At 43.9% G+C, this 14,920-nt stretch overlaps 1 long non-coding RNA gene across 2 annotated transcripts in view; it reads right to left on the bottom strand.

The window, feature by feature from the left end:
- Positions 1–6,018: 6,018 nt before the first annotated feature.
- LOC105369617 (uncharacterized) overlaps positions 6,019–14,920 on the bottom strand; it is a 257,798-nt gene continuing 248,896 nt past the window's right edge. For both annotated transcript variants that reach the window (NR_188065.1, NR_188066.1), the window contains 2 exons: positions 14,165–14,227; positions 6,019–7,986 (listed from right to left, as the gene is read on the bottom strand). This is a non-coding gene — a long non-coding RNA (uncharacterized LOC105369617). The remainder of the gene's footprint in view (positions 7,987–14,164; positions 14,228–14,920) is intronic.

Raw genomic sequence — 14,920 nt, 5'->3', positions numbered from 1 at the left:
ACCATTAATCAATCAGTATAAATGCTGCCATTTGTCCCCAAGGGTTTGTTTTTACAATCATTTGTTGAACAATTATCATGTGTCAGCCACAGTGTTAGATGCCTCTATCCATATTATACCATTAAGAGACAGTTTATTCATCTTTTATTTTTATTTTTTATTTCTTGAGGCAGGGTCTCACTCTCACTCAGGCTGGAGTGCAGTGGTACAACCATGGCTCACTGCAACCTGGACCTCCTGGGCTCAAGCAATGCTCCCACCTCAGCCTCCCCAGTAGCTGGGATTACAGGTGCACACCACCATGCCTGGCTAATTTTTGTATTTTTTGTAGAGATCGGGTTTCACCATGTTGCCCAGGCTGGTCTTGAACTCCTGGGCTTAAAGATCTGACCACCTTGGCCTCCCAAAGTGCTGGGACTATGGGAGTGAGCCACTGTGCCCAGTCTAGTTAAAGAATTGTAAGAGCAAATAAGAATGTGTGATAGTAAAATTACATGAAATGGCTAAAGACTTCTTTGGTGATTTAGAAAGGTCTTATTATTACCAAGTGGCATTCTTCTGAATACTGCTTCTTACATCACAGGACTAAACAAAACTTGGTTCTGTGACTATTCTGTTTATCAGAATTTTTAGTTGAAGAGATTTTTGACATAAATGAACTATCAATCTATTTGAATATCTGTTCACCTTGGAGGCAGTGTCCCAGTAGAAAACACATAATTATCTGCGTGTTTCCTGTAGAGGAAGAGAGGAGGTAAACTGTAAACCTAAAACTCACCAGCAATCTCATAACTGTAGGGTCATATAACCATGGGCAGTTCCTGCCCCTTGTAACTTTTGATGAGATTTGTGAACCAATAGACTGAGTTTAGGTTTTCTTTGTTCATGTTTCCCCTACAAGGAGACAAATTAATTAAAAAAAGATGCCAAAGACTATTAGAAAACTGATCCCAAAGATTATTAGAAAGAAAATAGTTCCAGATAATCAGCCATGGAGTTACTAAAGTTTCTGCTCATTCATTTAAGCAGCACTTTTAGAGTACCTACTACATGAAGCATGGTACTGAGCATGGGATACAGAGAGAAGCAGGCCCAGTGTCCCCGCGAGGACTGCACATGCACTCCAAAGAGAGGAGACGGACGGGAGAAACACGTGCGATGTAGAGTCACAGCAGTACTCATGGGTGTGCAAAGGTCAGTTCTTCCTAGGGGAGATAGGATCCAGTATTTCACTCTTCTAATTGGCTTGTGCTCTAGAATTGAAGTTTTTCAAAGGTGAATTCTTCTTTACATTATAGACACTCATCTCTCCCATTGCCAGGCAGTGGGCCCTGTAAATCTTGAATGATAATAGTTCTGCCACTGCTTTAGCCAGTGAACTTGCAGATAGCAATGCCTTGAATATTCAGAACCTCCTGCTGTTGCATGATTACTATGGATGTGCAACGCACGTTAGTATCCAAGGGTCAACCCTGAACCATACAACTGCTTTGATTATCTAAGTGTGCGTGTGTGTGTGTAGTGTGTAACATCTGGAGAAAATTAAGAAAATAGAAAGTCCCAGCTCCATCATGCAGAAACACGCCATTGTTATTAAACCCAGATGCCCCATAAAAAGTTTTCTTTGACTCAGAAAGGAAATATTTGTTCCTACACCTGTTGTTGCCTGTTACCAAGTGACTTCCTATGGTCTTTGGTCAGCTGCATTTTTTTTTCTTTTGTTGACATTTTCTTCCCTAAGGTCATTCTGAATTGCTCCCATGCACTGTTCATCCACAAAGCATGGTGAGACACCAAGGGGCTGGACAGACGATTTCCAGGGATCGCCATTGCTACTGCTCCTTCTATTCCTATTGTAAAAATGCCTGCTTGGGGAGATGTACTTTAATTCAACTCACCACCCTATAAGGGGATGAAAAATAGAAGGCCTACAGGATAGCTACATTGTGTTGACAAATGAGGTGGTAAAGAGAGTAGATTGACTGCAGTGCATTAAGTTCGATGGGAAGGCAGAAATAGTTGAAGTTTGAATCTAAGACTAAAGAGTCTAGACTTCATTTGTACTGACAGCCACAATGACGCTGGACACATCTTATCCCTTCTCTGGACCTCAGCTTCTTCTGTAAAATAAGTTAGGTCGAATTAGAAGCCCATTTTGATAGGATATCAGGAGGAGCCAATTAGAGTACTTCAGTGGCATGTTGGAAAGGTTTTTAGGGAGGATTAATCTGGACTGTAGAATGGATGGCACTGAGGAAATACTGGATCCAGGAATTGACCTAAGAAGTTATTTCAGTAGGCTGAGTTCCTTCTCGCTTGGTGCCTGGGTCTCTGACTGCTGAACCTAAAGCAAGAGACATTGTTCATCTGTCCCCATTACTGTTGTCCCCATCTCCACTTCTCAAGAGTCCCTGCTGAACCTAAAGCAAGAGACATTGTTCATCTGTCCCCATTACTGTTGTCCCCATCTCCACTTCTCAGAGTCCCAAGTCAATGGTAAGGCTAACTTACTGGTGTAGCCATTCCTTTGTTTCCCCAAGAATTAAGCATAACTTCTCCTTTCATAAGGCTGCAAGATAGGGTCTCAGAAGTGGTGGGGTCGGCTGTCTTCCCCTCTGGTCCTCAGATAGCCAGTTAAGCATGTTCTGCAGAAGCAGGCTGCCAACATCAGCATAGAGGACAGACCGTAGCTTGTTCTTGTGTGCAATTTCTTCATTGCACCTGCAGCTCCACCAGAGACAAAGAAGAGATGTGAGAAGGCCAGTCTATTTATGTTGTAGGCCAGTCTATTTATGTTGTAGCTTTCCCCTCTCCCTGGAGAGAGAGAGGCCTTTCTACTGCACAAGGGCTAGCACTATCTCCTGCCTTTGCCGCTTGTATTTGCCTGACTTCTTTACAATAATGTTTGTGTTTGTGCACTAAACTAATCCTCAGAAGACACCTGCAAATAGGTGGGACAGAGGTTGTTGTGCCTGTTTTCTAGATGAGGAACTTGAGATTAGTGCCGGGGCCACCTATCCAGTTCATTGCTGGAACTCCACCTGAGTTGTCTGACTCTAAATCTGTGGGTTGATTCTGGAAAAGGGTGCTACCAGAGCCTAGTGAGTCCTCTCAAACTGGAAAGACTCCGCTAGTGGGGAAGATATTCTCCATTCTTGTTTCTCCAAGGACCTCCATTGCCTGAACCCATTAGGAAGCTTGTGGCAAACAAGTCCAGGTGCTGCAGGGACAGGCAGAGAAGGGCAGAGAGCAGATCTATGGGATCCAGGCTGTCCAGGACACCTGGCCCCTCACTTACCTCCATCCTTGCCCTTACACATGCAGCAGTTTCCACTAAAAAATGGCATCCTAAAAGCGGCCCACGTTTAGTGCCCACTGCTCTAGGGTAGAAGTTCCTAATCTTTTCTGACTAATTCAGGGTATCAGTGAACTTAGGTTGGTAAAAACGACATTTTTGTTTTCACTAAACTCTAATTGAAATTTAGCATTTATGAAATAGGCAGAAGGCCAAGGTAGAATGAGCAACTTCCCTGTGACATTGTAATCAATACTATATTTTTATTATGTATGTTACAGATTTTGCAAATAGTTTGGAACTCTTCCCTACTTCAAAATTGTAGTGATTATTAGACCTGCCTGTAGAGCATGTGTGATGGCTAATACTGAGTGTCAACTTGATCGGATTGAAGGATACAGAATATTAATCCTGGGCATGTCTGTGTGGGTGTTGCCAAGAGAGATTAACGTTTGAGTCAGTGGGCTGGGGAAGGCAGATCTACCCTTAATCTGGTGGGCAAAATCTAATCAGCTTCCAGCAAATATAAAGCAGGCAGAAAAATGTGAAAAGGAGAGATGGGCCTAGGCTCCCAGTCTACATCTTTCTCCCATGCTGGATGCTTCCTGCCCTCAAATATTGGACTCCAAGTTCTTCAGTTTTGGGACTTGGACTGGCTCTCCTTGCTCCTCAGCTTGCAGACAGCCTATTGTGGGTGGGACCTTGTGATTATATAAATTAATACTTAATAAACTCATATATGTGTGTGTGTGTGTGTGTGTGTGTGTGTGTGTGTATATCCTGTTAGTTCTGTCCCTCTAAGAGAACCCTGACTAATACAGCTTTTTATTAATATTTAATGTGTTATAAAATAGCACAATTATTATTGATCACAAAATTGTTTCTTTCTTATGTTGACAACTGTATCTTTTAAAAACCGGTATTCTTTTTAATCTCCTTCATTTTATTTTGTGCACTTAAGAAGACTTTTTCGAGTCCATAGATTTCACCAGACTGCTAAGAGGTCCATACACAAAGAAATTCTAAGAACTGCTCCTCTTAGAGACGTGACAGCAGAGGTCTGGGGAAGACCCACCAAGGCTGTGTTTCTATTGCAAAAAACTCTTTACTATACCTTTGGTTATATATATATAAAGATAAAGCTCAAAGAGTATTCTGGAATGGAAAGGTGATGACAGTGAGGAACTGAATCATACAGCATAGGTTGTCCAGAGAGGAAAAAATTATTATACTGTCAATCGTTTTTGCTTTCACTGGCCACACCACAGAGGAGGGGGTTTGAGTCCAGGGCTCAGGAATGAGGGCAGGGAAGAGGGGTACACCATCTGCAGGAAGTCAGCATCTGGTCAAGGTCTCCCTGGAAGGAGCATGGTTGGTGTGCCCAAGCAGCTGCAATCATCCAAACCAAGGTTTGGTTTTCCTCTTCTGTACTGTAATCTCTTATGCTCTCCTTCATTCTCCAGATAAGTGTGTAACAGCTCAGAGTCAGTTCTGGCTTGGAGAATTCAGGGCAAAACAGTGCAAGGGAGGGGCAACAGCCTGGAGAAGTGAGACTGAGCTGCCGATGGATGTCCAGAGAGAGTGGGTCATGTCTGTTTCCGCAGCTTAGTGCACAATGTCTTTCCCATAGAATACGCTCCAGAAATGTTTGCTGTATGAATAACCAACTGGCTGAATGTATTAAAGAAAGCATGAATTAGTGAAAAGTGTGGTTCAGTGGCATATCAACGTGGGCTAGAGAGCTGAGGGAGCCGTCCACCCCAGAGGGAAGGATTGTTTTATCACTGACATCTTTAGGATTTTTAGCTCATTGTGATAATAAAAGACAGGCCAAAAATTCATTCATTTTGTCATTATTTTTAAATTCTCTGCTGCTGATGAACCCTCTTATTGCTTGCACCCAGGCTAGACCACTTGCCAGCTCCTCTTTGTGCGGCTCATGTGAGTGTATGAAGTGGTGAAGCTCCACTTCACTTGGCAGTGAATTGAACCAGAATAAATGTCTAGTTTCTGACTTAAGGAGTCGTGGCCTCTCTTTGTTTGAGATTTTGCTCTGCCACCCTGCAAATGCTGAGGAGCACGGAGAAGATGCATTGAATGCAGAACTGAAACACTGGACGAACAACTGTACAGCCCTTACTAAGTATTTCCGTCATGCCCCATATGCCGTCCCCTCCCCTTTTCACTGTGACTAATCAGCACCACCATTCCCATGAGAAGTGATTCCCCGCAGGAGGCTCTGAGCATTTGCGCCATGACTTTTGTGAGCACCTCTGCTTTTGGCACTATGACTTGGGGGAATAGAGTGTCTACATGGGGGTGCTGCCCCTGTGAGCTCCGCCTTCTAGCCCTGCTCCCCAGGGCCTGGCCCAGGGCTGACTGGGCCACGTTTCCCAGGGATGATGGGGGAGGGAGGGAGAGAGTAGCTGACTGCAGCCAGGTGGGTTGTTAGGATGACTTGTGAGGCCTGGGGCAGCCCTATATCCATGAGTCACCATGGCTAAGTTTAGTGCTGGCTTCAGTCACAGAACAGGTGGGCAGTCAGGGCAAAGGCATTCTGCTGGACTCTAGCCAAGCCTGGCCCTGTCCAGTTGGTGCCCTAGGGCTGACCCAGGGCAGCCAGGCCTGAGCTGACACAGACACATGGAGCAGTGCTCCCAGGTGCTGGGAACAACAGGTCGAGGGCAGGAACCCATGACTGCCCATCATTCCTTCTCCACTAATTCATTCAAAAACTTTTATTGAGTACCAATTATGCAAAAGTAAATACCAGCCCTCCTTCAAAAGGCTTACAATCTAAATGGGAGACAGACCATATGGAAGATAGCTACCTTGTTACGTCAACAGGATGCAGATAGATGGAAAATAGACAGACAGGAAATAATAATGACTGAAATTTGGGCAGTGTTTTGCAATTAATAAAGCATTCTCTCAAATATATCTTTTTATTTGCTTTAAAAAGTAGTCGTAAGAAGTTGTATTATTAGACCCAAGTGACAGATCAACTCACTGAGAAGTAGATTAAGTTGCCCAATGTCCCAGGGGGAATAAAGAGAGTTGGCAGTTGAGCTCTTGTCCCTCAATTCCAAATTCAGAGTCTTTTTCATACCACTCTGCCATCATGTCGGTTTCATTTTTTCAGGATGGGTTATGAAGGACATGATACCCATTTTCTTGGCAGGGAGAGAGTGTGGTTTAAGAAAGTCTTTGGTGGCAGGTGCCTGTAGTCCCAGCTACTTGGGAGGCTGAGGCAGGAGAATGGTGTGAACCCAGGAGGGAGAGCTTGCAGTGAGCCAAGATCATGCCACTGCACTCCAGCCTGGGTGACAGAGCGAGACTCCATCTCAAAAAAAAAAAAAAAAAAAAAAAAAAAAAAAGTCTTAGTTCAGAATGGCATTGGTAGTTGAATGATCTCAGCGTCTCCCGGCCCCATCACTCTTTCAGCCTCTGTCTATTTCTCTCTATCCCTTGGAAATGACCTGAATGTAAAGTACCAGGGCCTGTGTCCCAGACAAGGAGAATGGGCAAGTTGGTGGGAAAAAGTGGATGTGATTTTTATAGAAGTGATAGGAAAGTGCTGTGATACTGTCCTTGAAGCCTTCACTGACCCTTTCAGTGGAAGCTGAGTTCCTTCGCAGCATCTCTCCAGAGTTTTGGTCAGAATTCAGTACAGTGGCATCCATTTCACCTCACACTCTAGAAACTCAGGCCCACTTGCAATTTCCTCAGGAAAACCCACTCTTCCCCCAGGTAGGGAAATCCCAAGATGTATCATCTGACGTGGGATCCAGAGGACACATCTCTTTCAAGTCTCTGCTACTCTGCAGATGCTGAGGAGCATGGAGAAGATGCCTTGCCTGAAAGTTTATGCTTTCAGGCAATAACTGAGACTTTGTTCTAAGATCTGGCATGATCCTCCGATGGCCATTTAGTGGATTTTCAAACAAGCTGTCTGGTTTCCCTTAGACATAGCTCTTGCTCATTTCCAAACTCAAACGTTTAACACAAAACAGAAAAGTATCCGCAAGCAGCAGACAAGCTCTGGCCACTCTTTTGACTGGGGCCAAGAATCCTGGTGGATGTCACTTCCTAATGAGTTGGCCTGGTCTGGATATCTTTGGGAGGTGGGGAGGGAGGAGGCTGAAGGGGAGGGAAATTGCATGGGTGGAGTGGTGTCGGGGTGGGAGCGGGAATGCCAGTGTGGTTTATTGATGGCCCGCAGCATGACATTCTCGTTTCATCACATGATCAGTGTTTTCAAGGCACTGAGCCAAGACCAGCCATAAACCTGTCGAGAGAAACATCTCCGTGAAATACTCCCAGGCTCACAAAGCAGATGTTGGCAGAGGCAGCACGACTCACCTGCTTCACGCCTTTGAGGCGGCCATAAAACATGTGATCTAGAGAAGGTGGAGGTGGGTGGGCTTCTTACAGTCAGCTGGTGACAGAGTGAGGCCTGGAACTCAGGTCCATTGAACCCTACGTTCTTGTTCTTTTTGCAACCCCAGAATATAGATGCTCAGATAACCGTCATTCTGCTGAGATCTTCGTTATGTTACTTTTCCTTGCTGGGCTTCAGCTTCTTCCTCTAGAAGATGATGTTTTGGAAAAGTTGACCCCTCTTCCATAGGGGCAGGAATGGAATCCCCAGAGCATGCAGTACTGGCACTCAGCAGGTACAACGTGAATACCTGTAGAGGGAATGGATCAATGTTCTATGAGTGTATGAGCATATTAGCTCCATGACTTTCTATCTGCTCTCTACTTGTTTATACCTGATCTTCCATGCTCTGCCTGTTTTATAGGGTGAGTCTTTAAAGGGAGGAAACTGTCTCTAGTGCATCCTATTAGCATGGTGCCCATTGCAACACAAAGAGATTTAACTTGTTTTATTAACAGTGATGATAGTAGTGGTGGTGGATATATGGAAACTTTAGGTGTCGGAATCTTTTCCACTTGAATGATGGTTCTTTTTTCCTCTTTCTCTTAAGCCTTGGGTGATTGTTCTTTATCATATTAATGTGCAGTTCTTTGTATGTTATAGTTTTAGGTGTATGAGAAACTGTGTAACCATGAGTGTGTATGCGTGTGTCCTATTCTTCAGTGTTGTGGACCTGTATTGTTTTTGGTCTCTTAATATCTACTTCCCCTTCTTCTTTTAACACTTTGGTATTCTTTAGGTACCATCTCTCTCCCACTCTCACAGCTGACCCCATCTCCTTCAGGGCTGTGATTCAGCTCTGGCTGATTTGAGAATTAAACCTTCCTAGCCTCAAATCCAGAACTTTTGATCCAAAGCCTGTACTACTAGCAGGTGAACTTCTTATCTCCATCACGTGGGGAAACCTTGCCTGAGAATGGGGCCTACACAGAAGACAGCAGGGCTGAGGGATAGAGACAGATATTGTTTGAGCACCTGGAGCCACTGGGCCTGAAGCCAAAACCTCTCCTGAGGTTTTGCTTCATGAGCCAATAAATTCATACGTTTACTTAAGCCATGTTGGGTTGGGTTTATGTCACTTGCAAGAGAAAGAGTGACAAAATTCCATGAACTGGTGATGATCTTGAGAGTTGGAACTGGTGTTTTCCTCTTTCATCTGCACCCCCACTCATTGCCAAGTCCAAGTTGCGGTTTGTCTCCTCTCCAGCCTGGATGTTCCGCACAGCCTTGCACAAAGCTTCAGATGCACATGGCTCTGTGGGTATCGGGGATGCTGGGTGGCATTGGGTTACACTTGTCTCTTTACACCACCAACCCCTTCTCACAGATGTCACCAGGTTTTGTTGTTGTCCACACTTAAATCTGTTGTCTCAGGTTTCAAGAAAGTTTCAAATCAATCAAATGTTTGATTCCTTTATTTCAGGGAAAATTCCCCCTATTATATATATTATATATGTAATCTTTCTCTGGCATATTTGTTGAATTCCTTACTTCCGGAAAATCAATAATATACATTAGTCATATGTTCAATTGTCTTTCTCTTCTCCACATTGATTATATTCCAACTGATTTTCAAACTTTGTATTTTTCTTCCGTATTTGCTAGAATTATCTTGAGCGTTTTCTGTGTTAGTACTTTGATTTTTGGCTAAAATTGTTCTTTTCCTAGCTGCATCTTATTTATTTATTGTTCCATGATAGTATTATTTTTTTCCGCCTCAAATTTTGCCCTAATTTGCAAACATCTCATTTCATTGTTTTGTCATCTGGTCTTTAAACTATTTTATTTATTTATTTTTTTGAGATGGAGTCTCACTCTGTTGCCTATACTGGAGTACAGTGGCATGACCTTGGCTCACTGCAACCTCCATCTCCCAGGTTCAAGCAATTTTCCAGCCTCAGCATCTTGAGTAGCTGGGATTACTGCCACCACCTGCCACCACACCCAGCTAATTTTTGTATTTTTAGTAGAGAAGGGGTTTCAACATACTGGTCAGGCTGGTCTCAAACTCCTGACCTCAGATGATCCACCGGCCTTGGCCTCCCAGTGTGCTGGGATTACAGGCGTGAGCCACTGTGCCCAGCCTGGTCTTTAAACTATTTTTAAAATTTTGTTCCAGCTCTTAGTAAATGTTTCAATAGCGTGAAGCACAAGTGTTTTGATTCTGTTCTGGGATTATATTTCTTCCATGCTGAAGTTTGTGCTGAACTTTTCATTCTTTCAACGGTTGTGTTCATTGTGGTTTGCACACAATCACCATTTCTGTGTGTCCTGTCACACCTGATGTGAGTGGTTTGTCTAGACCTTCTAGTTGCTCTGACACCAGTAGGTGGTTTTGGCTTGGCTTCTCTCCCTTGCTTAGGTGACTTCCCTCTTTACCAAAGTCTGAGAGGACAAGAATTGCAGTTCATCTTCTTCTCTATACGAGGGTCTGATAGGTTAGAGGAGAAGTCAGCTAGGGCATGGCCCACTCCTTTTAATGTCCTCTATCAGAATTCACCCCCCAGTGGAGTGTGTAATTCTTCTGTCCTGGGGAAATCCTTCCAAATTCAGAGTAGATCCCAGGACCTTAACTTCCCAACAGAGAAAGTCAAATTATGTTGTTTATTTCCATTGTCACCTTTCTCTCCTTAATAGGCCTAATCTACTCCCACCCAGCCAGAAGTGGAGAAATACAGAGGCACCCACTTCATCTACCTCTCCTAAGTTCAAGAGTTCTGCTAAGATTTTTCCTATTTTGTCGACTCACTAGTTCTGTTTCAGAGGTGAGAGGATGGCAAAAAAAATTCTCTGTTTCTCTCCTTGGGTTCTGCCTTTGGCAGTTTTTAGCTTGAGGTTGTATCTCTTTCCTTATTTCAGTGTGATAGTATATTTTTTGCTGGATTTTAATGTTTTTGCTTATTTCCCCCTGTCTAAGTGAGGGAGACCCCCACTAGGGGCACATGGCATCCTCAGAAGAACAAAGGCTCTACAACCTGACAGGCCAGCCATGGGACCCTGGGTTCTTCTGAGAGTCACTTTATCCTCTAGTCATGAGAACAGTCATGATTACTCTGCAGATTAGAGATGCTGTATGCAAATGTTGGTGCCTGAAATGTGCGCACAATGGGGTAGGGTGGATGCTTGACCACATAGAGTGGGCAGCCCTCAGGGAAGCATTGTACAAGGTGAGAGTCATCATTTCTGGGCCCTGGGTTCCCAGGTGCACCTTCCTATGTTGTTCATAAAGCTCTTTGGCCAGATGTGGAGTTTGGAGGATGGAAGGCCATCCTTGCTCTCACACCAGCCTGGCCCTGTGATTTGCATGTTTTCTTTTAGGGGTTGTCTTGGGACTAGATGGTTTTATCAGGACACTCTCTTGGCTTACCAAATTTTCTTTTTTTTCTATAAATCCTTTTATGGGGGTCACAGATGGGCATAGGCAGAACTGTGACTTAAGGTAGAGGGACAGTATCTTAGCATTTTTGGCATAGCTAGGTTACCTCCTGAAGGTAAGAAACCCACTGATTTTGCTACCCAATTCCTCTCCACCATATTTTGTGGTAGGCAGCAAGGCTTGCCAAGCAATGAGCTCTCCATCATGCCCACGTCATGCCTAGCTATGGGCAGGACCAGGACTTGGAGTTTTCCCAATTTATCTGTGGGCTCTCCCTGGACACTCCTCCCAGGGAATGCAGAATGTTTGTAGGAAGGCAGGAGCAAGGAGGCCCCTCTGGCATAGCAAGTGGCCTCTACATGGTGTGAAGGTCAAAGGCATCCATGAGGAGTATGTATGACCTCATTAAATATTAGATACAAGAAACCACATCTTTCAACATCCTGAGGCAGCCTTTGTGTCAGGCCTGCTACAGTCACTGCAGAAAAATACAAGATAAAAGCACTGGGACCACAGAGCGGCATGCAGGAACGCAGTGCCTCTACAGGGACGCATGCCTGTCTGTGTCCTAGAGACCCGCCATGTCTCCCTGAGCGTGGATTCCTCATCTGTAAGATGGGGATGGTAATAGTACCTACATCATAGTTTTGCTGTTAGAATTAAATGTGTGTAGAGTGACTAGTATATTGGCTGGGAAAAAGTAGGGACTTGGTAAATGGAATCTGTGAACATTATTTCCTTAGAGTTATGTCTATTTACCATTAATAAGCAGAGCTCGTGTGACATACGCACACACACATAAACACACAAGCAAAGGAGCCGTGCAGTCACCCCCTTCAAGATACAATCTTGGTGCCTATTAAGGGGAAGCCAGGGGCTGTTCTCTCTTCTTCATTTTGTCTTCAGTACCTGCGCATCCGCAGGAACTTGATATATTTTGTTGAAGTAGCTACAGTATGGTGCCTAGAGAGAAGTGTGGAACAGTGCTGGCACAGAGTTGGTATTCCGTAAATATTTGCTGAATGAATGTAAATGAATGAACAAATCATCTTTTTAAAATATCTTAAAAGAAAATGAGCTTAATCTGTAGTAAGCAAAATGTAAATGAACTATAAAGGACTATAAAGGACAACATCTCAACACTGAACAATGACAGACTATAAAAGATGATTTAGAGAAACTTTGGGCTCTTTTTAAAGGAAAATAGAGTAAGTCTTGGGGAACAAATAAATTAGCTTTCCAACCTCATGTAGTCCTTAGACTCAAAACTTTATTGACAAGAATCTTTGATGTTAAAAAAACTACAGAAAGATGAGTGTTTTGAAAACCTTTTTCAATCACAAACTAGAAGAAGCAAATACTTTGAGAGTAGATTAAAACGAACCAACCAGCGACTTAACCCACAACGTAACAACCTAATTGAAATCTCATGCTCCAGTTTTGGGCTCCTGTTAGAGGTCAGGGTCTTGTGAAAATTGACTTGTTCATGCCAGTCGGAGTGAAGGCACAACCCTCACAGGTAGAGACATGAATATGAAAACCCAGAACAGGTGGGCGTGGTGGCTCCCGCCTGTAATCCCAGCACTCTGGGAGGCCGAGGAGGGCAGATCACCTGGGGTCAGGAGTTCAAGACCAGCCTGGCCAACATGGTGAAACCCCATGTCTACTAAAAATACAAAAATCAGCTGGGTGTGGCGGTGGGCACCTGTAATCCCTGCTACTCAGGAGGCTGAGGCAGGAGAACCTCTTGAACCCGGGGGGCGGAGGTTGTAGTGAGCTGAGATCGTGCCATTATACTCCAGCCTGGGTGACAAGAGCAAGACTCCATCTCAAAGAAAAAAAAAAAAGAAAAGAAAAAGAAAACCCGGAATAATGTGTATTCTCTTACCTGCGAAATACAACCCAAGTATCTTTGTCCCACATTAGTGTTGAATCTTACTGAATACCCAATTCTGGAAATCTTAGTATGGGCACAGAGTGAACTGGATTAGACACTACAATGGCTAACTTTCTATGAAAGAGATAGCGTCCATGGGTCTGTGGGTCTGTGTGTCATGGGGGAAAAGGAAGAGGCTACAGAGAGCCCACATTTCGGACTAGGAATCTAGCACTTGATGATAATACTACACTGTCTCCGCTGGTCAGTGCCACCCAATGGAGCACGGAATTATTTTCAGAGTTTTGCACATGTTCTTTTCTTTTCTGTGAAAAGCAGGAAATACATCTTATACTCTTCAGAGCTCTCAAGTGCCTAGCTCAATGCAAAAAAGAAGGGCTTCTTGATTGCCATGGATTGATGGATTTTCCATGATTAGGTGTGGGCACCAGCAAGACAGACCTAACATGGGACTGAGTATCAGATGCCTGACAGAGCCCAGCATAAAAATCACCCATGTGGGCCTGGCATGGTGGCTTATGCCTATAATCCCAGCACTTTGGGAGGCTGAGGCGGGCAGATCACTTGAGGCCAGGGGTTCGAGACCAGACTGGCCAACATGGTGAAACCCCATCTCTACTAAAAATAAAAAAAATTAGCAGGGTGTGGTGGCACGCTCCTGTAGTCCCAGTTACTTGGGAAGCTGAGACAGGAGAATTGCTTGAACCTGGGAGACGGAGGTTGCAGTGAGCCGACATTGTGTCGTTGCACTCCAGCCTGGGCAAACTCTGTCTCAAAAAAAAAAAAAATCACTTATGTGAAGGAGCTGAGTTAGCTCCTAGAAATTTCTGGCATTCATGGCTTTTTATTTTTGTCCTTGGTAGGGAGAAAAATTAGGGAGCCAAACCCATGTGGGTTGTCAAAAGGGAACTAGGAAGAAAGCAACAATTAGAAGTGTCTGTGGAATTTGGGTAATCTGTTTGTAGGGTTGGCATTTTGAAGACAGGATAGAAATACTGCTTGTGTGTGTGTGTGTGTGTGTGTAAGAATGTGTTTAAGGGCCTATGATGGGAGCTTCTAGAACGATTAGAAAATATAGGAAGAAAGAAAGCCTGGGCATACCATTTTTTGTAATAGATCATATTTTGAAAGAAAAAGCATAAAAACATTACTCACTTTGGATATTTTTTTCTTTTTCAGCAGTGACAGCATCTATCCGGTACCTGCCCAACCATGTCCCTAGGGGAAACAGAGGCAGGTCAATATTGACAGAGGGGAGAATCCAGGGCAAAGTAACCGTGTGTGCATCACCAACACCAGCACCCCCCAACCTCATGACCCATAGACCATTAAATGCTTGGCCAACTATGGCACAATGTTGGTGCCATGGAACTACTAGCCAGACATTGTTTTCACCAAGATGGTATGATAATTGGGGCAGGGCCACTAAAACATGCAAAGGCAGATATAATTCCCGAAGGACATTATAATTTAGGTGCCATACAGTAGCCCTAAAAGCAACAAGAATCCTTGGAAAGAGTGTACATGGCACAGGCATCTGTTTTTTTTTTTTAATTTGATCACTCCCTTTTGAGCATCCTTTCTTCTCAGTAGCTCAGGATAATAGGGATGGCAGTGCTGGAGGTAGCCGACTGACAGTTTGCTAGGTACTGGGGGCCTATGTGCATGTGTGAGCAGGTGCATGTGCGTGAGGGGAGGGCACACAGGTACTGAGGAGAAATAGATATAATCGATTTTGAAGAAAATTTGTTAATGCTGATTTAGCTACTTACTTCTTAGGGTCCTGAAACTACAGAATCAAATTCCCTTATTCTTAGATTTTTCTGATCATCACTGAATCCCTTTCTCAATGAAAAAATAGATGCAGGCTTGGGTTCAGGTCAGATTTTATTATTTCGTAATTGATCTAGA

Source organism: Homo sapiens, chromosome 12 (assembly GCF_000001405.40).
Source record: "Homo sapiens chromosome 12, GRCh38.p14 Primary Assembly".
Taxonomy (NCBI): domain Eukaryota; kingdom Metazoa; phylum Chordata; class Mammalia; order Primates; family Hominidae; genus Homo; species Homo sapiens.
This window is presented reverse-complemented; position numbering and strand designations above follow the sequence as displayed.